This window comes from Homo sapiens, chromosome 9, assembly GCF_000001405.40.
Source record: "Homo sapiens chromosome 9, GRCh38.p14 Primary Assembly".
Classification (NCBI taxonomy): domain Eukaryota; kingdom Metazoa; phylum Chordata; class Mammalia; order Primates; family Hominidae; genus Homo; species Homo sapiens.
In genome coordinates, this window is record NC_000009.12 from 122,308,584 (window position 1) to 122,331,580 (window position 22,997).

Consider the following 22,997-nt stretch of genomic DNA (forward strand, 5'->3'; position numbering starts at 1 on the left):
AGCTACTCAGGAGGCTGAGGCAGGAGAATCGCTTGAACCCAGGAGGCGGAGGTGGCAGTGAGCCGAGATCACACCACTGCACTCCAGCCTGGGTGACAGAGCAAGACTCCATCTCCAAAAAAAAAAAAAAAAAAAAAAAGATGGGGTCATGCTGTCTCATCCAGGCTAAAGTACAGTGGCATAATCATGGCTCATTGCAGCCTCAGACTCCTGGGCTCAAGTGATCCTTTCGCCTCAGCCTCCCAAGTAGCCGAGACTACAGGCGCATACCATGACACCTGGCTAATTTTATTGTGTGTTGTAGGGATGGGGTCTCACTGACTTGTCCAGGCTTGTATTTTAGTCATTTTTTAAGTGTACAGTTCAGTGACATTAAGTATATTCACATTGCTGTATAAGCAATCTCTAGAATGCTCTTCATCCTGCAAAGCTCTGTACCTATTAAACAACTCCCCACTTACCTCTTCCCCCAGCCCCTGGTAACTACTATTCTACTTTCCGTCTCTATGAATTTGGCAGCTCTTAAGAACTTCATGTAAGTGGAATCATACAATATGTGTCTCTGTGAGTCTGGCATATTTCACTTAGCATAATGTTTTTTATGCTAACTGTTTTTTATGCTAAGGTTCATCCATGTGATAGCACATATCACATTCTCATTTCTTTTTAAGGCTCAATAATATTATATGCATATACCATATTTTGTTTATTGAGCTGTCAGTGGATCTACTAAGACCTACTAAGACATTGAAGGGCTTACAAAGCCTTGCTCTTGCCAGCCTCTCCACCCTTCTCTTTTGGGATAGTCTTTGCCTTCTTCTTTCTATACTATCACCTTTTTTTCATCCTATAAGAGCTATATTCTTATATATGCTATTCCCTGTGGTGAGAATGATCTTCCACTATCCCCCCAACTCTTAGGCAACTTAAATATCACTTAGCCTCAGTATCTCCACATTTAGTTCCTGGGGTCCCACAAAGAAAGGTTGGTCAGACTCCTTTCCCCACTTAATTATTTTTGTAGAACCTCTATATGTCTTTATGGTGCATATTACCACTGTAATTTATTCATTAATTTGCATGTGTTTGTGTAATGACTGCCTTCCTTGCCAAATGGTAAACTCCTGTGTATTTAATGCTATCTCCCTTTTTTCTGTCATAATGTCTATAATGTAGGTGCCTAGTAAGTAGTTGTTGAATGAAGCTATAGATTGAATGAATGAATCCTGAAAAGAGAAAATTTCAGGGCTACATGCTGAGAGCGTTTGGATTTTAAAATGTCTGTGAGATGTTAAATTACCAGTGAGATCTCAAAAAGTCATCTTGCCATAGCATAGATCTTTGCTCTGTCATTCCTCTGTTGATTAAAAACTTTCATTATTTGAAGATGCTTCAGGGCTTCCAAAAATGTAACCAACAACAGCAGCAGAGACAGTTTACATTTCCTGAGTGTTTATTCTCTATCAGGCCTTGTACTGGATGCTTCCCATGTATTACCTCATCTAAATCTCACAATAACTCTGAAAGGGAGGTTCTGTTTCATTTGTTTGTTTTTAATTTCTGTTTCCAAATGAGAAGAGCAAGGCTCAGACGGTTTAAATAACTTGCATAGGGTCACTCAGCTTGTAAGTGGCAGGCCCAGAAGTGGGGTCGGATCTGAGTTTTGTAGCCTGGGATAGAGCCCACCGCTCCTCCTCATCAACTGAAGTAGTCTCTTTTTATCTGTTTTGCAAATGGGGCCTCTGCCTCAGTTTTCTTTGGAGCCAGGGGTTTGTGGCTAAAGAAGAATTTGAAAACTCCAGGCCTGTAGAGTATATTTGACTGGGATGTACCCTTTTCAGCTTCATGCTGTCCCTCCACTACATCTCCCACTGTGCTTCCCAAAATGCACTTTGCATTCTTCTGCAGCTAACAAGTTACTGTGCATCCATAAGGCGGTTTCCAAATCTCAAGATAGAAGTGTTGTGTTTTCTGTATGCTCCTTCCGCAGTAGATACTAGCAACAGTCATCCTCTTTCTACGTAGTGGCTGACAAGTTTGTCTCCACCACTAGTCTGAGCCTCTGGAAAAGGTGGGCCAGGTCTGCCTCTTCTGGAGCTCCTTGGTCTGGCCCAAGAACTGGCACAGAGCGTAGGAGGCTCAGTCAGTGCTTGATGGGTGAATGCACATCAACTTAAAGTGGGTACTCAGAACTAACCAGCTGAGTTCAGAAGCCTGGAATACAAACTCTAGTGCATACTCACAGAAACCCAGGAATGCAAGGTGGAGATGATCAGATGTATTAATCACATTTGGAAAAGAATGAAAATATTTCCATAATAAAATATGTTTATTTTCTAAAACAGATATGCCCTCATTGTTTCATGAGGAAGTAATTAAACATGTTTGATTAAAACATTCATAAACACTATCATTTATTCAAGGCTACTATATATGCTGCTCTCTTTATTGGTACTTTATCTGTTGTGTCTGCTTCTCCTAATCCTCCTGTAAGGTGTCTTTTTAAATCTTCATTTTAGAGATAAGGAAACTGAGGCTCACAGAGATTAAGTAACTTGCCCAAGGATAGTCAGCTTCTGAGCAATAGATACAGGTATGAACCTAGTCTGTCTGACTTCAAAACCAGTGCCTTGCCATCACCCTAACTGCTTCTGATCTTGTATTTTAGATACCTTTCAGCTCAGTACCCTGAACCAGCACACACATGCCCTTCTCCCCCTCAGCCCTCCCTGTGTCCAGCATGGTTTGTCTTCCTCCCTCCCTTTCTCCCTTCTCACTGCACTCCACTCTCCATTTCCTTGTAGTATCTTTTTGATTATTGCCTCTTTGCATCCTGAAATGGAAATATTTTTGACAATGTCAGTGATTGGACACGATTACATGTGGAAACTGGTGTTAATAGTGTGGTAATGTCACATTTGCATTAATAAATACAAAGTAATACATTTTATTAAGGCCAAATTACCTATATTATGATTTTGTTTTCTTTCTGTAGCCTTTAATTCTTAAGATTTTTTTGAGTCTCATTTTATATTTTTTAATGTATGTTTTTTCCTCCATTTAAAATATAACATTGTAGTGAAAAGAAAAGTTGATCAGATAATTTTTTTTCTTTGATTAAGCATTTTCTAAACAGTGAGATACCTATTTGAAATTATGTGAAATGCAATATTGAAATACTTCAGTATGTTCTTTTTGGAGAAGTTTATGAGGTTTCTTAAAGACTTAGATTCATTTATTTTCTGCCCCTCTTAGTATTTCAGCAGGATTAAGTTCTTGAATCAGTGGATCAAGTTTTAATTTTCCTGTTCCTTCCTTATACTGACATATGCTTTGGCAGAACAAAAAAGAGACCTAAACATGTCAGCATGATTTTTGTTCAATGAATTAAAAACCATAAAAGTAACAAGATCTGATCCAAATCCCTAAACTCCTGACATGGTGGTTTTGTGCTTTTTAGTCCCAAGCTTCATATTACTGACTTTGAAGAGCTTTCTGCCTGGAAGCAGAAGTAATGGCAGCAGTGCATAATTTACTTGAAATAGATTACAAGAGTAAAAAGAATACAGGCCAGAAAGATCGGGGTTTGAATCCCAGTTCTCTCACTCATGCTCATGGGCAAGTCACTTAACATCTGTGAGCCTGTTTCCTCATTTGAAGAGTTGTGAGGATTCAATGAAGTAACACACTTAAAGTACTCATGTGGCATAGAACGGTTTAATAATAGTAGTAATTAGACTCATTGTTGTTTTGAGAATACCTTCAAATAGCTGAATCCAAAAGGATTTACGTAAATACAACTGTTCACTTCAGAGCTTATTCTTTCTCAAAATTCTTTAATTTTTTTTCTCAGCAGAGAAAATGTAAGGTAGATGTTACTAAATCTTTAACAGCTGCTCATCACTATTCCACACTGAACATGTACCCAGAACTTAGGATTGTCCTTCCTTGAGCAAGAACCGTGTTGATTTGAGAGTAAGGAAGCATAAGCATGTCCATTTCAGGACCCAGGGGGCAGAGGAATGCTGTCATACTAAGACCATTGGCTTTTGTGACAGGCCAGCTTGGGTTTGACTGGGTCTGACTTTGTATAAGGTACCAAATTTCTTTGGGCCTCATTTTCTTCATCTGTAAAACGTGGTTCGTGACCTTGCAAGACTGTCTGTGATATGGCTTCCCAGCCTCTTTTCTTGTCACTCCTTTCTTTGTTATCAGTGCTCCAGCCAATTCCTTAAATGAAGCATGGGCTCTTGATGGTTTTGTCCTTTTCAGTCCCAAGCTTCATATTACTGACTGTGAAGAGCTTTCTGCCTGGAAGCAGAAGTAATGGCAGCAGTGCATGATTTACTTGAAATAGATTAGAAGAGTAGCAGAAAGAATACAGGCCAGAAATATTGGGATTTGAATCCCAGTTCTCTCACTGGGAAGTTTGGTACCTTCTACAAAGTCAAACCCAGTTTGCCCATGTTTGGGCAACTTAAAGCCTTTATACATGCGTTTTCCTCCTCCTGGAAATTCCAGGAGTTCAGCCCACAGAGAGGAAAGTTACAAACTGCTGAACTGGTTGACAGAGTGATGTTAAATTCTTGGCCAGCAGTTAATGTATAGAATGATTTTGTTGAATGTCTTTTGTCTTTTATCAGAGTAACCAGAGAGCACAGAGAAATGCTGGTGAAACTGGCCAAACAGAACACCAACAAGGCCAAAGACTCTTTACGGAAGGTTCGCACCAACTCAATGAACAAGCTGAAGAAATCCAAGGATACAGTCTCAGAGGACACCATTAGGCTAATAGAGAAACAGGTACTATTGCCAGCAATGTAGTAGTGTCTGTGTATTCAGCATAAGGAATCATTTGTTCATGTTTGAGGTGAGGACAGTTAAAACAGAATACCTCTGATCTTTCATTCACATTATCACCATTGTCTGAGTCTCTGTTCTGGGCCTAGCCTAATGCCAGATTCAGAGGGATCCATAGAGGAGGATAAGACACTTGTATTGTGTACCAGGTTTTGTGCTGAACACTTTATATTACTTCATTTACCCTCATCACTACAAAACTATGAGGTAGGTAGTAAGGAAACTGAGATTCAGGCAAGTTAAATAACTTGCCCGAAATCACACTGCTGGAAATTGGTAGAAATCGGATCCATACTTAGGCAGACGGATTTCAGAGCCTCTACGCTAATGCTCTCCTGTCTGGTTTTCCGGTTGCTGAGAATTGAGCACTTAGTGTTCTCAGTGTGCTGAGTAGTGGCACTTGAATAAGTCTTAAGCTGCTGGAGTAAAATAGTGAGAGACAAGGGGGAAAAGTGTAACCATATGTACAAAGGTAAGGTGATATAAAAACAATATTCAGTTAAGATCATTGGGGTTTGAACGTAGGATAAGACTAGGGAATGAATAAAGAAAACAGAGTGGCTAGATAATAGAAGGAAGGTCTCGTACACCAGGTTTAGGAGTTTGAACGTTAACATGTACAGACTGTCCCACATTGGCTGTGCATCTATATTAGTCATGTATGGCCACAATAATGGTACATAACTACCCCAAAACTCAGTGATCGACAATATCAAAGCATTATTTCTTGTTCTCATTTCCATGGGCCAGCTGGGGTGTAGCTATTCTAGGCTGGGCTCAGTGGGCTTGGCTCCAGATCTTGGATTGGGTTCAAATCTGCTTTATATCTCTCAATCTTCCAAAGCCAACAGGTTTCCTAGGGCCTCTTTTCATGGTAACAGCAGATGCCAAGATCATAAGCCCAACCACTCAAGTACATTTTAAACACCTGCTCTTGTCACATTTGATTGGCCAAAGCAAGTCACATGGGCCAAGCTCAATATGTTTGGTACAAGGAAATATATATATTTATGGAGGTCTGGGGAAAGAAGTGAATATTTGCTGAACAGCATCTCTCTACCAAAGTACCTTAATCACTTGGGTAGCTTATAAAAATCCAGGTATCTGGGGCCCCATTTCCAGAGATTGAGTCAATGAATCTGGGACAGAGCCAGGAATCTGTATTTTAAATCCTTCTCAGGTGATTCTCATACAGTGACACACTTAAAAGATTTTTTTTAGATGATGGAGAGAGCACATCTATGTTTATGAAAGATGACTATGGTGGCCAGGTAGAAAACAGATTGTAGGGGGCAAGACTGGAGGCAGGGCGATAGGGATGCTGCTGCAGAAATCCAGCCAGGAAGTGATGGTGGCCTGAACCTGAGTGGCACCTGTGGAAAGATGTGGAGATAGAATTAGTAATGTTCAATGTAATATAAAGGGTTTGATAGGCCTTAAAGCCTCCTCATCCACAATAAAGCATTGTTTTAGGGAGATTGAACAGGCATGTGGGCTGGATAGGGAGTGAAGAGAGAAGCGAGAAGCAAGGGACCCCTGGAGAAGTCCATAAGTTGACTAGCTGCTCCCCTTCTCCTCCACCAGCAGTTAAAATGCTAGTTTTACTAGCATTTTACTAGTAGGACAGCCACAACAGTCACCTGGGGGGGGGAATTTTAGGTGGCTTCCTGGGCCCTACTCCTGCATTTTCTGATACAGTAGCTCTGCCTAGGAATGTATATTTTTATTTTACTTACTTTTATTAATTCATTTTTCTTGAGATGGGGTCTCACTATGTTGCCCAGGCTGGTCTTGGGCTCCTGGGCTCAAGCAGTCCTCCTGTAGCTGGGATAACAGATGCGTCCAGCTGGAATGTATAGTTTTAAAAAGCTCTCAGGTAATTGTGTAAAAGCACACATAGAAGATAATGACCTAGAAGCCTGGTAATGTACCTGTGTAATGACACTAGAGTTAGAAAAAGATTGTTCTGCACTTGATGTCCTATGACCTTGGGGAAGTTGCTTGACTCTTTGGAGTCTGTTTTCTGTAAAAAGGGATTGGTAATTTCTGCCTTGAATGGTTTCCTTGGTATGCTAGAAAGCACCATTAGTGTACCTAACACCCAAACCCTCAAAACTCCCCTCTTGCCATCTCTCTGCCCTCCTCCTTCCCTGTATCAGCTAAAAGAAGAGGTTCAGAGATTAGGCGGGCCTTTCCTGTGCACTGACCAGGCCTCATTAATAGTCTGGGCCCTGGCTCCAGCTGGGCCGGCTCCTTGTCTTTCTCCTAGGGGATTTCTTCACTGCTTTCCCTTGTCATTGCTTCTTGGTGGTAAGCCTATGGACCTTCAGGGCCTGCCAGGCACTAGTCACTCAGCAAGCCAGGACATCTGCCTCAGGGACCAGAGCCCACAACTCCTGAAAGAGGAAGAATGATCAGATAGCAAGCATTCTTGATAAAACCCTCTTGACAAAGACCTTGCTGGAAGCCTTCACTCATTAGCACTGGCTTTTCGCCATCCTCTTCAGATTAAATTTTTTTTCTTTAGTGCTTCTTACTGTGATTTTTTTAAGTGAAAATAGCTGTATTCGTTTTGCTGTTAAAACAAGGAAGAAAGTAATTGAAATCTCATCACTCAGATGACTGTTGTTAACATTTTAGTGTAGAACTTCAAGTTATCTCTCGAAACAAGAAAAAGTATCATACAATTTATATGATACGATATATCACAGATATCTTTCTAAACATATTATTATTTAAATGTTTATTTTTATTTATTTTTTATTTTTGTCACCCAGGCTGGAGTGCAGTGGTGCAATCTTGGCTCACTGCAACCTCTACCTCCTGGGTTCAAGCGATTCTCCTGCCTCAGACTCCCGAGTAGCTGGGATTACAGGCACGTGCCACCATGCCCTGCTAATTTTTTTATTTTTAGTAGAGATGAGGTTTCACCATGTTTGCCAGGCTGGTCTTGAACTCCTGACCTCAGATGATCCGCCCACCTCAGCCCCCCAAAGTGCTGGGATTACAGGCATGAGTGCCCAGCTAAATGTTTATTCTTAACCAGGATTGTTAATAACTTAATTTACTGTCATAGAGTTAAAAGTTTGGAACAGTAGAGAGCCTTATATATACTTCATGGTGTTCTTTCTACTGTCAGAAGGCCCCAGACTGGAATTTTTGGTGTGTGTGTGTGTGTACGTGTGCGTGCATGTTTTAAAGATATAAAACAAGGTTATGGCTGATTGTCGCTTCATCAGACAGTTTTAAAATTTTGTTTACTTTTGTTCCTTATTATCAAAGTAATATATGTTCATTGGAGAAAGTTCATCCTCCCCTCCCACATTGGAGAGGCAACCGCTCTTAACATTTTGGAATATTTCTTTTTTCCTTTTTTCTAAAAAAAAAAAAAACTACATAGTTTTAAACATGATTGAGAACATATAGTATATATACAATTTTGTATTCAGCTTTTTATTTTCTGTTTGACCTCAAAGGTATTAGCATTTTTCATGTCTTGAAAAACTCTTTGTAAAACTCTTTCTGATGGCTGCTAAATAGTTGGTGGTGTGCTGTTCACTTTCATAAGCCCTCTTTTTGGACATTTTAGTTTGTTGAAACTTCTTTGTTATAAGGTTGCAGTGAATATATATATATATATATATAAATCTTTGTTGAGATGATTTCCTTAGAATAGACTGGAACGTCCCAAGTGTGGAATTACTGTACAGAGGGATTGCATATTTTTTGTAAGATTCTTGGTACATACTACTGTGTTTTTAGAATATATATGTATTTAATTTGCCTTTTATAACCCCTAACACTTGAACCTAGAATTTTTTATCTGAGCTGAAAATGTTGCTTATCTGGGAACTGTTGCTTTTACTTTCACACTCTACAGAAAAGATTGTTATTCTTTGTATAAATCCATACGACCTTTCTAAAGGATAATATATACTAAAATCCATACATTTCTGATTTAGTGACTTAGGAATTTGCCCAAAATAAATAATCAAGAGCCTTATTTATAGGAATGTTCATTGATATATATAATAGTAGAAAACTGGAAACTGTCTATAAATTTCTGACTGTGGGAAGTAAATTGTTTTACATTCATTAGAATCTACATAGAAAGTTATAAAAATATTTTATAGACATGGTAAATTTTTTTGGAATTTGCTTTTAAAAGGTAGATTATACAGCAGTTTGATTTTAGTTTTATAAAGAAAAGTCACATGCACATGGGGTTGGCAGCTTATACATGTCAAAATATTAAAGGTGGTCATTTCAGATGATGGGATTATAAACAATTTGGATTTTATTTTGAGTGAGATTATCTTTTTTAATTTTCAAAAATCTTTTGAGGTCAGATTTTTTAAAGCTTTATTATAAAAATGCTTCTTCAATTTTTGGTGTATAAGAATGAAATGATAGGCTGGGCGCAGTGGCTCACGCTTATAATCCCAGCACTTTGGGAGGTCCAGGCAGGTAGTTCACAAAGTCAGGAGATCGAGACCGTCCTGGCTAACACGGTGAAACCCTGTCTTTACTAAAAACATAAAAAATTAGCCGGGCATGGTGGTGGGCATCTGTAGTCCCAGCTACTCGGGAGGCTGAGGCAGGAGAATCGCTTGAACCCGGGAGGCAGAGCTGCAGTGAGCCGAAATCGCGCCACTACATTCCAGCCTGGGTGACAGAGCGAGACTCCATCTCAAAAAAAATAAATAAGAATGAAATGATTCATTTGTAGGTTCTATCCCTATAGTCATGTTTGACCCCCAGATTTCCTCACCTGTTCCCCCCACCCCACTACTTCCCAACCCGCATTCCAGGCAAGCTCTGCTGAAGAAGGACCGAGGTCTTCCCGCTCAGGACTCTGACATCTGCCAGCCTGCTGTTTCACCTTTGCTTTGGTTTGCTATAAATGAGCCTGCTGAACATTAAAGCACTTGGCAGAAGCCACCAGTAAATCTGGCCAAGATCCTTTCACTGCTGCCTTTCCCTGAGAAACAGTGCTGCTCTGAAATGAGCAAAGCTGGGTGCTAGCAGAGCTAAAGGAGGGAAAGGCTCCTGGCAGACTGGTGGAAGGCAGGGAGGCTGGTCCAGGCAAGGCAGCGGGTGTTTTGAGCTAGGCCTCAGGAAGGATGGCTGGTAGGCGGGCCTGCCCCAGGAGTGTACTCTGTGCTCCTGCCATTCCCCTTCTCTGTCCCTGCCTTTCATTTTCCTGAATTTGTAAGTAGCAAATGTGATGATGATAATGATGGTGACGATGTTATCATCTCTATGAGGCAGGGTATTATGTTGGCAAGGGTTCTTGCTTTGGAGTGAGACAGGCCTAGATTAAAATCCTGGCTCTTTTACTTCTTAGCTGTTAATGTCAGCAAATGGTGTCATCTTTCTGAGCCTCTGTTTCTTCATCCATAAAGTGGGAGCACAGGATTGATATGAGGACCAAATGAGGCTACATACTTAAAAGTGGCTAGTATGGTTGCTGGTCCTCAGTAATTGTTCGCCCTGTTTCTTTATCCTCTTCTCCCCAGTGTTGTGACTTTAAATGTAGAACTTGGATTGACACTTAATGTCCCTAACACAGCCTGTCTGGAATGAGGCGGGACTAGGCCAGGTGCTGTGGGACCCCTCCAAAAGGGAATAAGAGCCTCAAACTGGCCATTAAGGTGGGTGAGTTCTTGGCTCAGCCACACCACTGAACTTCTTTCTTTCTTTCTTTTTTTTTTTTTTTTTTTTTGAGACAGAGCCTGGCTCTGTCCCCCAGGCTGGAGTGCAGTGGCGCAATCTTGGCTCAGTGCAAGCTCTGCCTCCTGGGTTCACGCTGTTCTCCTGCCCCAGCCTCCCCAGTAGCTGGGACTACAGGCTCCCGCCACCATGCCCGGCTAATTTTTTGTATTTTTAGTAGAGACGGGGTTTCTCCGTGTTAGCCAGGATGGTCTCGATCTCCTGACCTTGTGATCCGCCTGCCTTGGCCTCCCAAAGTGCTGGGATTACAACCACTGACTTTTTATGTGATCTTGGACAGATCAGTTAACATTCTGTGCCTTGATTTACTCCTCTGTAAAATGGGGATAATACCTATTCTACCTGCTTCATAGAGGCTATGTGAGGTTGTTGGATTTGAATGAAGTAACAGAAGATAAAACACTTTTGCATTCCTACTATGCAACTGTCAAGTTAAATAATGTTTATTATATGGTAAAGAGAGATAATAGTCTTTCATATGTTATAGGGATTGTGTGCAATAATGCATGTGAAGTTTTAGGCAAGTGTCTGACATTTGGTAAGAACTCGGTAAGTGGAAGCTGTTGTTGGCCTTGTTGCTATTAATCATTATTTTAAGACGTCTGATAAAGGTGGAAAAGATGAACTTACAGGCAGGCTGTCCCCAAGAACACCTTATGCTTGTACTATGGTAAAATGTTAGTAAATATTTTCATTAATTTTTTTTTTTTTTTTTTTTTTGAGAGAGAGTCTCTGTTGCCCAGGTTGGAGTGCAGTGGCACCATGTCGGCTCACTGCATCCTCCACCTCCTGGGCTCAAGCTATCCTCCCATCTCAGCTTCCTGAGTAGCCGGGACTACAGGCGTGTGCCACCATGCCTGGCTAACTTTTTGTGTTTTTTTAGAGATGGGGTTTCCCCATGTTGCCAGGCTGGTCTCAAACTCCTCGACTCAAGTGATCCTCCCACCTCAGCCTCCCAAAGTGCTAGGATAACAGGTGTGAGCCACCACACCTGCCCTTTTTCATTAATTAATTGGAAAGAAGTCAGGAAGTGATAGTAAAAGTTATAGTAACAAGAAATAGCAAATAACCAGTTTAAAATGTGCATGCATATTAATTTGATAGATGAGGAAACTGAAAGTCAAAGTGGGGAAATGACCTACACATTTTTAACCCACTAATTTCACCCAGAACCCATGTTATCAAATTGTTACCCTAAGTATTACCCTAAGTACTCTCCCTCCTCCCAGTCCCCATCCCTGTCCCCAAACTACCCTCAAAGCCATTTTTCCAGAGGAGGCTTTTAGCCATCATTCCTGGCTGTCCCAGGCTGCCAGCCTGCAGGTGTTGGAGTACTGCTGGGCACCATGCCACACCCCATGCAAGGCAGCCACAGGGGGCAAAAGCATCTCAAGGCTTTGTGGCTAGCTGAGTGAGGAGGGACCAAGCTGTCATTCTGAGTCCAGCCACTCTTGCAGTGTGTCTGGCAGCCCCCAGGTGTTTTGCTTTTCTAGCTGAAAAAATGCACAGCTGTTGCTATGGTGAGAGCCTGGCCACCTCCCTGCCTGGGACCAATTGCACTAAATCCTTTTTAGTTTCTACCCTTTTTAGTGCATTTAGTTCTCAATTCCTAGCCAAGGCCTGTGGTCTGCAAATAAAGATGTCCAACAGCCGCTATGCTGCTGAGCATGCAGATCCTTGGCACCATGCTGCAGCCCTTAAAGCCTCCTGCCTAAGGCTTCCTGCTTTCAGTCTCTTTTCGACATAGGAAGGAGACTGTGGCAGCTACTAAACTGTATTGTGTTTTTTCATTCTTGGAGTACATGTTTATGGCAGAAAATTTGGAAAATATAGAAAAGCACAAAAAACTTTAATAATTATTCACTTAGTGTGTTTTTCCTGAGAACTTGATATGTGTTAGGTCCTAGGCTGGATGTGACAGAGATGGACATAAACAATACATTGCCTGTCTTCCCATCAGTAAAATATAACCACTATTAATATTTTGACAAGTTTCCTTCCAGTTTTTAAAAATACACAATTTTTTGTTTACATATTTTAGAGATCATTTCTACTATGTATATACACAATTTTGTGTCCTGCTTTTCTTCAATTCAAGGATAATGTGAGCGTGTTTCCATGATATGTACTGGAATGTTATTCATATTAACACCCTATCCTTAAGTAGTAGAAAATCTTAACCATTTCATTTTTAATGACTATATGTATTCAACTACTTCCTCATTCTATAACTTTAGATTTTCTAATTTTTGTATTATTAAATATAAAGCTGGGATAAATATCTTCGTGTATAGAACTTCAGAAAATTTTTTCAGATCCTGTTCATGTGATAATTTCCCAGTTGAGAGATTTTGGGGTTAAATGGTATGAACATTTGCATCAATTTGAATTTCTATCAGTGATATACGAGCTTATCCATTTCATCATAGCTTGCTGGCATTGAATATTGTAATTAAAAACCACAGCATCAAATTTTGCTATGATAGCTGAATTGTATCTTATTTTAATTTGCATTTCTTTGATGTCTATTTTCCATGTTTGGTAACCAGATGTACCTCATTTTTTTTCAAGGCTTTTTTTTTTCACTTAACTATTGGGATCTTAATATTCTTCTTATCAATTTGTATGAGGGCTTTATATACAAAGTATTTCAGGTGTAGGAAATTCTAGAGGCTCATTAAGGAACAGATAAGACTAGCTTCTCTATATTGTAGAATAATAGTTAAGAATTTTGGGCTGTGGAATCTGAATGCTGTGGATTAAATTTTGTCATTCCAACTTTCTAGCTATGTGTCCTGAATAAGCGATCTAAATGCCTCAGTTTTCCTATCTGCAAAATGGGGATAATAATAGTATCTATCTTATGGGTTTGCTGTTAGGAGTTAAAAAGAATGTATATATAGGCCTGGTGCGGTGGCTCACGCCTGTAATCCCAGCACTTTGGGAGGCCAAGGCAGGAGGATCACGAGGTCAGGAGATTGAGACCATTCTGGTGAGCACGGTGAAACCCCATCTCTACTAAAAATACAAAAAAAAATTAGCCGGGCGCGGTGGCGGGCACCTGTAGTCCCAGCTACTCGGGAGGCTGAGGCAGGAGAATGGCGTGAACACAGGAGGCGGAGCTTGCAGTGAGCCGAGATTGCACCACTGCACTCCAGCCTGGGCGACAGAGCGAGACTTTGTCTCAAAAAAAAAAAAAGAATGTATATATAAAGTTCTTAGTACAGTGCCTGACTGGTACTTAATGTGAACTTTTGTCACTATTATTATTTCTCACATAACCTTTTCATGTTTCTGGAATATTCATCCCCCTACCCTTTTCCAGCCCCATTAATCAGGCTGTCTCATTTTGTGTTCTTGCAGATCAGCCAAATGGCCGATGACACAGTGGCAGAACTGGACAGGCATCTGGCAGTGAAGACCAAAGAACTCCTTGGATGAAAGTCCACTGGGGCCAGCAATACTCCAGAGCCCAGTTTCTGCTGGATCCCATGGGTGGCACATTGGGACTTCTCTCCCTCCCCCATCTACACAGAAGACTGTCACCATGCTGACAGAAGCCTGTCCTTGTAAGGCCCAGCCTTCCAGGGGAACACTCAGACATGTTCATTCTCTTCCTGCTTCTGCTCTGGGCCGGTGGGTGGCTCTCAGAAAATACTTGCTGCTGGCAAAAGGCCTGTACTCAGGCATTTGCTTTGACTTGATGTTGCCAAGGGACTGAGGCCATTGGCAGGCTTAGTACCACCTGCTCCTCATCTTAGGAGTCTCCTTTTCAAATAATTAGGCTCTGTTCCCATTTTAAAACTCTGATATTGGCCTTCACCTGTGACTGGACACTTTACTAGAGGCCCATTTTCACTAAACAATAAAATCTAAATAAATTGGAAGGAATAACAACCACAAAGGAAAGAATAGAGTTGGTCTGGATTGATGATCACTGAGGATCTGTATGTGAGGCACCCATAACAGTAGTTTTGCCTGTGAGTCGTCTTCACACATGCTGTTTTCTCTGCCTGGCTCTCTCTTCCCCTCCTTACCTGGCCAGTCCTGTTTATCATCAGGCCTTGTCTTGGATATCACGTCCTCTGGGAAGTCTTCTTTTCCCCTCTAACCTAGGACCCTCATTACCGGCTCTCATAGCACAGTCTACTGCTTTGTACGAATTCTAAGTATTCTTGTTGCACTTAATTAGCCTGTATATCCTCAGAACTTTGTGTAATGCCTGGAGCATAGTAGGCAGTCATATGTTGTATCGTGAATAAATTGCACATAGTAGCTACCCAGCAAATGCTGACTTCTTTTCTTTCTAGTCTTAACACTCCCTTTCTATCATTTTCCACTCTTGTACTTGTTCTCAACATTTACTTGGTAGTGACATACCTTTCCTGCAGGGCCTGCCCATTGTTGACAGACAAGTAGTTTATTGTGGCTTATCTTCGGATACTGGGTTATTAGGTTTTTTTCCCTCCAATTATTTTTTATTCATTCATTCATTCCTAATATAGCCATTATGAGTTAGGTATAGTTCTAGGCATTATTTATAATCTTGACAGTAAACTTAAGAGATGTGTATTATCTTCATTTACAAATAGGAAAACTAAGTCTTGACAGTATTAGGTAATTTGCCCAAAGTAACAAAGCAAAGCTGATCAGTGGTAGAAGGTTTTCATGATTCATTGTCAGCGTCATTTACATAGAGGTGAAGTTTCTTGTGCAGGGTTACACACCTAGCAAGTAGCAGAGCTGGCATTCAAATTGAGGCCTGATGTGCTAATGTAAAAGGAAAAAAACAAACTTTTTTTCCTTTTGTACTTTCACACTCAACATGGAACACTTCTGTGACAAGGTGTGTGAGTTTGTTTCCCCCACACACCAAGCAATTCTCCAGCAGACACCAACTGGGTATCCTATAATTCAATTCATTTCTGACATTACCTGGAAATAGTGTCAGATCCCACAGGTTGAGGGCTCCATCTCCCAAGACTGCCAACACTTTTGATGCCAGTCATGAGTCTGGGCCACCCATACTCCTGACTGACCAACTACAAACTAGAGTCCTTGATTTCCTTTGGTTCAGTTAATTTCCTAGGACAGCTCACACAACTCAGGGAAACACGTTCACTGGTTTATTATAAAAGATACAGCTGAACAGCCCAATGAAGGAGGTACACAGGGCAAGGTTGAGGGAGAGGGAGAGGGTGTGGAGCTTCCATGCCTTCTCTGGGCTCACACTCTCTCAGCACCTCACCAATCTGGAAGGAACCACTGTGTCCTGCTGCCTTCATTAGCATTTAGTGAGCACCAATTGTTTGTCAGGTGCTGAACTATGTACTGGCAATACAAAAATGGGAAAGATATGACCCCTGTTTTGGGGGGGTACATAGTGCACTGAACTAAATTGCTGTCTATAATAATCTATTGGGTGGAAAAGTAGGAAGTTCATTCCAGTTCTGCAAGGTGTCTGCTTTCAGAATGGAGCCCACTTTGGTGGTGGCAAGGCCTGGCTGAGTTCTTTCAAAGCAACATCCAACTTCTCTTTGCTCTTTGACTTCCTCCAGATTCTCTCCTGTGCTGGAGGTAATAAGGGTTGCACTTCCCTCTTTACTTACACTGGTGAAACATGCAGTGAGGATTCAAGGTCAAAATTGGGTCAAAGTTAAACTAACACAGTCTCCTGCCCCACTTACCTGTCCTCTAACCCCATCCACCAGCCCTAAGTGGTCATCACATGATCAGAAGTCAGCTGGGGGAAGAGCAGGGATAGATAGAGCAATTAAGGAGCCTCTTTTGGGGTAAGCCACATGACAGGGGCTTTGCAACAGTCTTTCATGAGTGGCCGAAATCCCCCACTCACTGCAAATGTGCTTCTCAAAGATGCAGGATTTTTTAATAAACAGAGGAAATGATAAATTATGTTGTAATTCCACTCCAAAGGCATTTGGTTCTTAACAGCCAAATCCTCTGTAGTCTTTAAATAAACAAAAACTTATTTGGTGAACAGACAGGGAGGAAAATGAAAGATTTTCTGTACTTGGGTTCCACATGTCAACAATTTCTCTCCTGTGTGTATGTTGGCCAAAGCTGTATCATGATAAATGAATAAAGGAAAACCTCGAGCCCAGGGCAGTCAGACAGCTCAGCAAATGGCTTTCAGATGATTACTCAATTTCAGTTGACATTTATCAAAGAGTTTCTCTGTGACTCTGTGTCAGGGCTGTAGTGGTGACAGGGACAAGAATGAGACTACCTGTTTGGATGTGCTGAGAATGAGTAATGCTGGAGCAATTCATTCTCCATCTCTTCTCTCCTACAGCCTCTCTCAAAAAGAAACACTGGGTATGGAAATTCTCACACTTGCCAGAAGAATTAACCACCTCTTCTATTCAGTTTAATGACTTTCAAAGTCCTATGAAATATTCAGGCCAGAGAGAATTTGAGAATTTTTTTCCTGTCTGGTGTGTGTGTGTGTGTGTGTGTGTGTGTGTGTGTGTGTGTGTGTGTGTGTGTGTTGGAAATTACAAAATAAGTTGGAATGCAGAAAGTTAAAAAAAAAATCTCACCAGGCCCTACTCCTTTAAAATTAGGTATATATCTTTCCAGACCTCCTTTCTCTGTGCATATATGTGTGTGTGTGTGTGTGTGTTCGTTTCATTTTGTTTTGCCTTTGAGACAGTGTCTCACTCTGTCGCCCATCATGCAGTGGCACAATCATAGCTCACTGCAGCCTTGAACTCTTTGGCTCATGCAATTCTCCCACCTCAGCCTCCTGAGTAGCTGGGACTGCAGCTATGCACCACCACACCTGGCTTTTTTTTTTTTGCTTTGTTTCCTAGGCTGGTCTCAAACACCTGGCCTCAAGCGGTCCTTCTGCCTCAGCCTCCCAAAGCGCTGGGATTACAAGTGTGAGCCACTCTGCCTGGCCATATATAATTTTTTTTTTTTTTTTTTTGCAATGGAGTCTTGCTCTGTCGCCCACGCTGGAGTGCATTGGCGCAATCTCGGCTCACTGCAACCTCTGCCTCCCTGGTTCAAGCAGTTTTCCCTGCTTCAGCCTCCTGAGTAGCTGGGATTACAGGCGCCCGCCACCACACCCAGCTAATTTTTTATTTTTTTTTAGTAGAGATGGGGTTTCACCATGTTGGCCAGGCTGGTCTTGAACTCCTGACTCAGGTGATCCACCTGTCTCAGCCTCCCAAATTGCTGGGATTACAGGCATGAACCACTGCGCCCGGCCATATAATTTTTTAGAAGGAGAGAGGGGAACTATTCATATTCTGATGTTTGCTTTTTTTTCTTACCCTGTAACAATCATGGTCATCTGTCCATGTGTGTACATAATAGATACAATTTATTATTTCATTGTGATACAGTATTCCATAATATGGGTCTACCATAACTTAATTCACTATTAGCCCATGACACTATTTAAAAATTATTTCACATGCATTGGAGAATGTTTAAAGATGATTTTTTTTTTTAAGAAAAAAGAAAGGCCCCTATTCTAAGATTATCTGATAAGGTCTGCTCTTTCTCCTTCAACCTCAGGCTAACATTTATTGAATGCCTACAGTCGGCCAGGTTCCATGCTAGACCCTTTACACGTGTTCCCACATTGAAACTTCTGATGAATCCTTGTTAATGTAGGTGTTATGATTATCTGTGTTTTTCTGTGAAAAAAACAGGTTCAGAAAGGATATTTAACTTGCCCAAGGTCACACAGGTAGTAAGTGCTAGAATGAAATTTCAAACCCACATCTGACCTTGAAGTAGGTCCTTAATCAGTGTGCTTTGGTTCCCAAGTCTTCGCTGAACACTTACTCAAAAGGGACCTCGCGCTGTTCTGGACCTGGACGGTGATGTGAGAGAAGCAGAAGTCTTGCTTTCATAAAACACATAGCAAGCTGTTCCTAATTAATGACTGCAAGTAAAATAGCATAGTACCTGGCACATTGTAAACACCAAAGAAATGGTAGCTCTTATGGAGACAGTAAAGATTACATATTAATCCCCCACCTGTTTGGCCAACTTCTCTAGAATATGTCAGAGAGCAAGCAAAATGTTCACCAAGCAGTGAATAATGATAATAATAACAACAATAACAGTATTGACAGATCAGTAACTAATATTTGCTTGGTGCTTTTTAGTTTTCAAACTGCTTCTACATTCTTTGTTGCATTGAAACCACTCAGTGAAACTTTGCGGTTAGACAAAGAGTGATCATAAAAGCTTGTATCCTCAAAAGCCACTTTGAGGCTTTCTTTTGCCCTAATAGACGGTCATTTTTCATGATGTGCATTTGAAATGATATGTTCCCTATTTTGGGGGTACAAATTTTGATATGTATGCAGGAAATGTAGCTTATAGAGTATGTTGTTTAGGTTTTCCATTATTTTTTGACCCTTTGATGAGTCTTGGACTGAAAGTGGTGTGTTTCAGACCCCTGCTATTAACATTTCTGTTCCTTCTTGCATTTTCTGCTTTATGAAAATGGATTCTGCTTTGTGAAAGTACTGCTGTGTTGTTTTATACATAGCGCTCCAGACGCTTACATCTTCTTTATTTCATTCAGTGCTCTTAGTCTGAATTTTATCTTGTTGTATATCAGGATTACAGCTCTTGCTTGCTTTTTGTTTACATTTGCTTTCCCCATTTCTTGATTTTTAAGCTTTCAGAATCACTATTTTAGGTGTTTCTTTTTTTTTTTGGAATTGGGTTTTGTTCGATGAACCATTCTGAAACTCCTTTTTTCTTATTTTTATTTTTAATTGTAAAATATACATAAAATTTACTCTCTTAACCATGTTTTTTTTTTAGACAGGGTCTTGCTCTGTCACTCAGGCTGGATTTCAGTGGCATGATCTCAGCTCACTGTAGCCTTGACAACCTGGGCTGAAGCAATCCTCCCACCTCAGCCTCCTGAGTAGCTGGGATTACAGCCACGTGCACCGCCACACCTGGCTAACTTTTAAAATTATTTGTAGAGACAAGGTCTTGGCTATGTTGCCCAGGCTGATCTCAAACTCCTGAGCTCAGGTGATTCTCCTACCTTGGCCTCCCAAAGTGCTGGGATTACAGGCTTGAGCTTCTGTGCCCAGCCTTAACCATTTTAAGTGTACAGTTCAGTAGCATTTAGTACATTTACATTGTTGTACAACCATCCTCCAGAACTCTTTACCATGCAGAACTGACGCTCTATACCCATTACACAACCCCAGTTCCCCCTTCTCAGCCCCCAGCAACCACCATTTATGAATTTATAAATTTGATTAGGAACATCATGTTAAGTGGAATCATACAGGATTTGTCTTTTTGTGACTAGTTTATTTCACTGAAGCATGATGTCCTTAAAGTATATCCATATTGTAGCATGTATCAGAATTTCCTTTCTAAGGCTGAGTAATCTGTTGTATATATGAATAAGTATATATAAAGCTCCTTTTAACAGACACTTAAATTCATTTACATTTATTTATAATAGTGATATGTTTAGTAGAACCCATTTACTTTTTCTTTATTTTCAGTATTAACATAAGTGATTTGGTGTTTTAGCCCTAAGCAGATAAAGGATTAGAGATTAGAATGAGGAAGAGGGTTGCTTCACATAGACGAAGTTCAGTTTTTGTGGAATAAACAAATAAGTGATTATCTCTGTCTGCCTCTTTGTCTCTCTCTCTCTCTCTTTTTTTTTTAATAAGAGATGAGGGGTCTCCCTATGTTGCCCAGGCTGGACTTGAACTCCTGGGTTCAAGTGATCCTGGAACTGCAGATATGCACAGCTGTGCCCGAAGATCCCTTTCTCTTACATTCCTTTCTTCTGGTCTGTGTTTCAGTCCATCCTACGCTGTTAAGTTAGAACAACCTGAAACAGCTTTTATCATGTCACTCTTCTCTCAGAAACCTTCATTGGTTCCCTGTTGCCTGCTGAATTATGTAAACTCTTCACCCTGGCATTCAGTAACTTCTGCAATCTGGGCCTGATGTATTCCTTTAATTGTGATGCATCTCTTACAACTACCCTGATACCACCAGTGCTTAAGCGAAACGGAATTATTAGCTTTTCTGAAAGCTAATAATTTTGTGCTGCTTTCTCTCACCTTCAAGCCTTTTCTTAGGCTATTTTCTTTGCCTAGTGTATGCTCCCTTAAACCACTTCCCCACCAGCAGGCAAAACTTACCTAGTCTTATAAGCCCTTCTTGGTCCCATGTTCTTCCTTACACTAACTCATTCATTCATTATCCATCCCGATGCTTCTCCTGATTCATTCATTCATTATCCATACCGATGCCTCTCCTGATCCCTAAACCTGCCTATGCCTATTAAGCGCTTGGATTTGCCTCAAGCATCTGACGTTCAGCTACCCACCTGCGTTTCCTCTCTCAGGAAAAGCCTCACCATCCACCCAGGTGCCAAGCCAGGACACTGGGAGCCACTTTTGCCTCCCTGTCCCTCTCCCCTCATCCAATAAGTCACCAAGTCCTGTCAATTCTCCCTTCAACAGACCTTTCCTTTCCTTCCTGGGCACACCCTTGAGTGGTGCTCACCAGGGAACAGATGTGGCAAATGTTCCAGGCTGGCCTCACCCGGGTCTCTAGACACTTGGCTCAGAGGCAGAACATGGCTAACCCTAGATAAGCCTTGTGTGAATTCCTGGCAAGAAAGTCCCCTGCTGTCTTAGTCTGTGCATTCTCTGACTAGCACAGTATGTGGCGAGAGCAGGTGTTGAGGAAATGTTTGTCTAATTCTAAGGGGCCTGCCAGGCCTTGATACAAATGGCGTCACATTTACATGAATAACCCAGAGTTTCTCTAATTATCCTCACCTGCCTGCCCAGGACCTTCAACCTCATCTGCTAAGTCGGCCTCAGGCGTTTCTAGACATCTTAAGGGACCGCATGGCATCCAAGGCCACTGGCATCTACTGTACTCCCCTCCCACCGGCGCTTCCCTTTGCTAGCATCTGCAGCCACAAGTGACACTTAAGGGAGATTTACCTCCACTACTGGGAGTGTTAGTGTCTGTGACAAAAGTGCTGGTTGCTGGGCTGAGGGGGTCTGAGCATGCTGGGTGGAAGCCCTGAAGAGGAAGGGAGAAGGTCTCTGCCCACATCCCACATTTGCCGTGCATCCCTGAGTTCCAAAGCAGCCTCGCTAGGCTCTAGAGCCCCTAAATCTCCAAAGACAGCAGCTCCTCCGCGAGCTAGCTGCCCCTGACCGAGGCTCACAGCTTGCCTAGGGGAGGGCAGGGCAAAAGTCCCTGCTATTCTCTTCCTTTCCTGGCTCAGGCCTTGATCCAAATAGCTCCCTTCTTCCAAGACACTACTCCCCAGGCCTCCTCTTCCTGATAATAATAGTGGCTAACAAGTTTTACTAGATTTTAGGCAACTCAAGGAGCTAGCTGTTATTTTGTTCATTCTACAAGTGAGGAAGGAAGCACAGACAGTGGTTAAGTTACATGTCCAGAGACACACAGAGGGCCTAGTGCAGTAGCTCATGCCTGGAATCTCAGCACTTTGGGTGGCTGAGGTGGGCGAGTCACTTGAGGTCAGGAGTTCGGGACCAGCCTGGCCAACGTGGTGAAACCCCATCTCTACTAAAAATAAAAAATTTAGCCAGGTGTGGTGGCGGGCGCCTGTAATCCCAGCTACTTCGGAGGCTGAAGCAGGAGAATCACTTGAACCCAGGAGGCAGAGGTTGCAGTGAGCCAAGATTGCACCACTGCACTGCAGCATGGGCAACAGAGCGAGACTCTGTCTCCACACAGAGGAACACTTGGCATCAGGGAGTCTGTTGTCTGACCCGCAACTAGGCAGCCTCATACATTATTTTCACTAAGAGACCAGTGGGGCTGGAAAGGGACTTGTGAGGTGCTAAGTAGCCAGTGAGAGCTTCTGGGTCCTGTCGCAGTTTTGCCCTTTCTTCCCTCAAAAAAAGGTCTCTCCACTTCTCTGTGGGAAAGGCTTGGGCAAGTTCTCTGGTTTCCAATGAGGCCAGAGAACCTGTGCTGATCCCTAACATCTTCACCCATCGGGGGCAAAATAAGTAAAATAAAAGTAATGTAGCAAATGTTTTTATAAAAGTGTTAATTTAAATTAACGGACTATTACCTATTCTTAGAGCTTTCTCTTTTGTTTTTGGCATTAAAATATCCTTTCTATTATAAAATGATAAGTTGGTGATTCTTTAGAAATCCTTATTTAGAAAAAATAATTGGTCACATTCTGTGGGTTCCTTTCATTCTGTTTTTTAACTTCACAGATGTATGAATCCCAAAGTCTCGGAGCTATGGGACCTCACGCCTACTCCTAGTTCTGATGTCCCCGAGGCTGTCATCCAAGGGAAGCTGGAGCTGTAACTAGGGAGAGAAGCAAGGGAGGGAGGTGGTTTGACCTGTGTGGGTGTCGGGGA

General features: G+C 41.7%; 1 protein-coding gene across 15 annotated transcripts in view; it reads left to right on the plus strand.

The window, feature by feature from the left end:
• The window catches only part of MRRF (mitochondrial ribosome recycling factor), a 66,456-nt gene extending 43,702 nt beyond the window's left edge, over window positions 1–22,754 (plus strand). For 9 of the 15 annotated variants that reach the window (NR_144421.2, XM_011519183.3, NM_001346339.2 and 6 more), the window contains 2 exons: window positions 4,644–4,803; window positions 13,957–22,754. Coding sequence is in view for 11 of the 15 variants with exons in the window: in XM_011519183.3 (XP_011517485.1) it covers window positions 4,644–4,803; window positions 13,957–14,034 (238 nt within the window). In the remaining 4 variants the exon portion in view is untranslated. Of the gene's footprint in view, window positions 1–4,643; window positions 4,804–13,956 lie in introns of those variants that run through there. The other 6 variants (XR_007061373.1, XR_007061372.1, XR_007061374.1 and 3 more) reach the window with 3 other exon arrangements.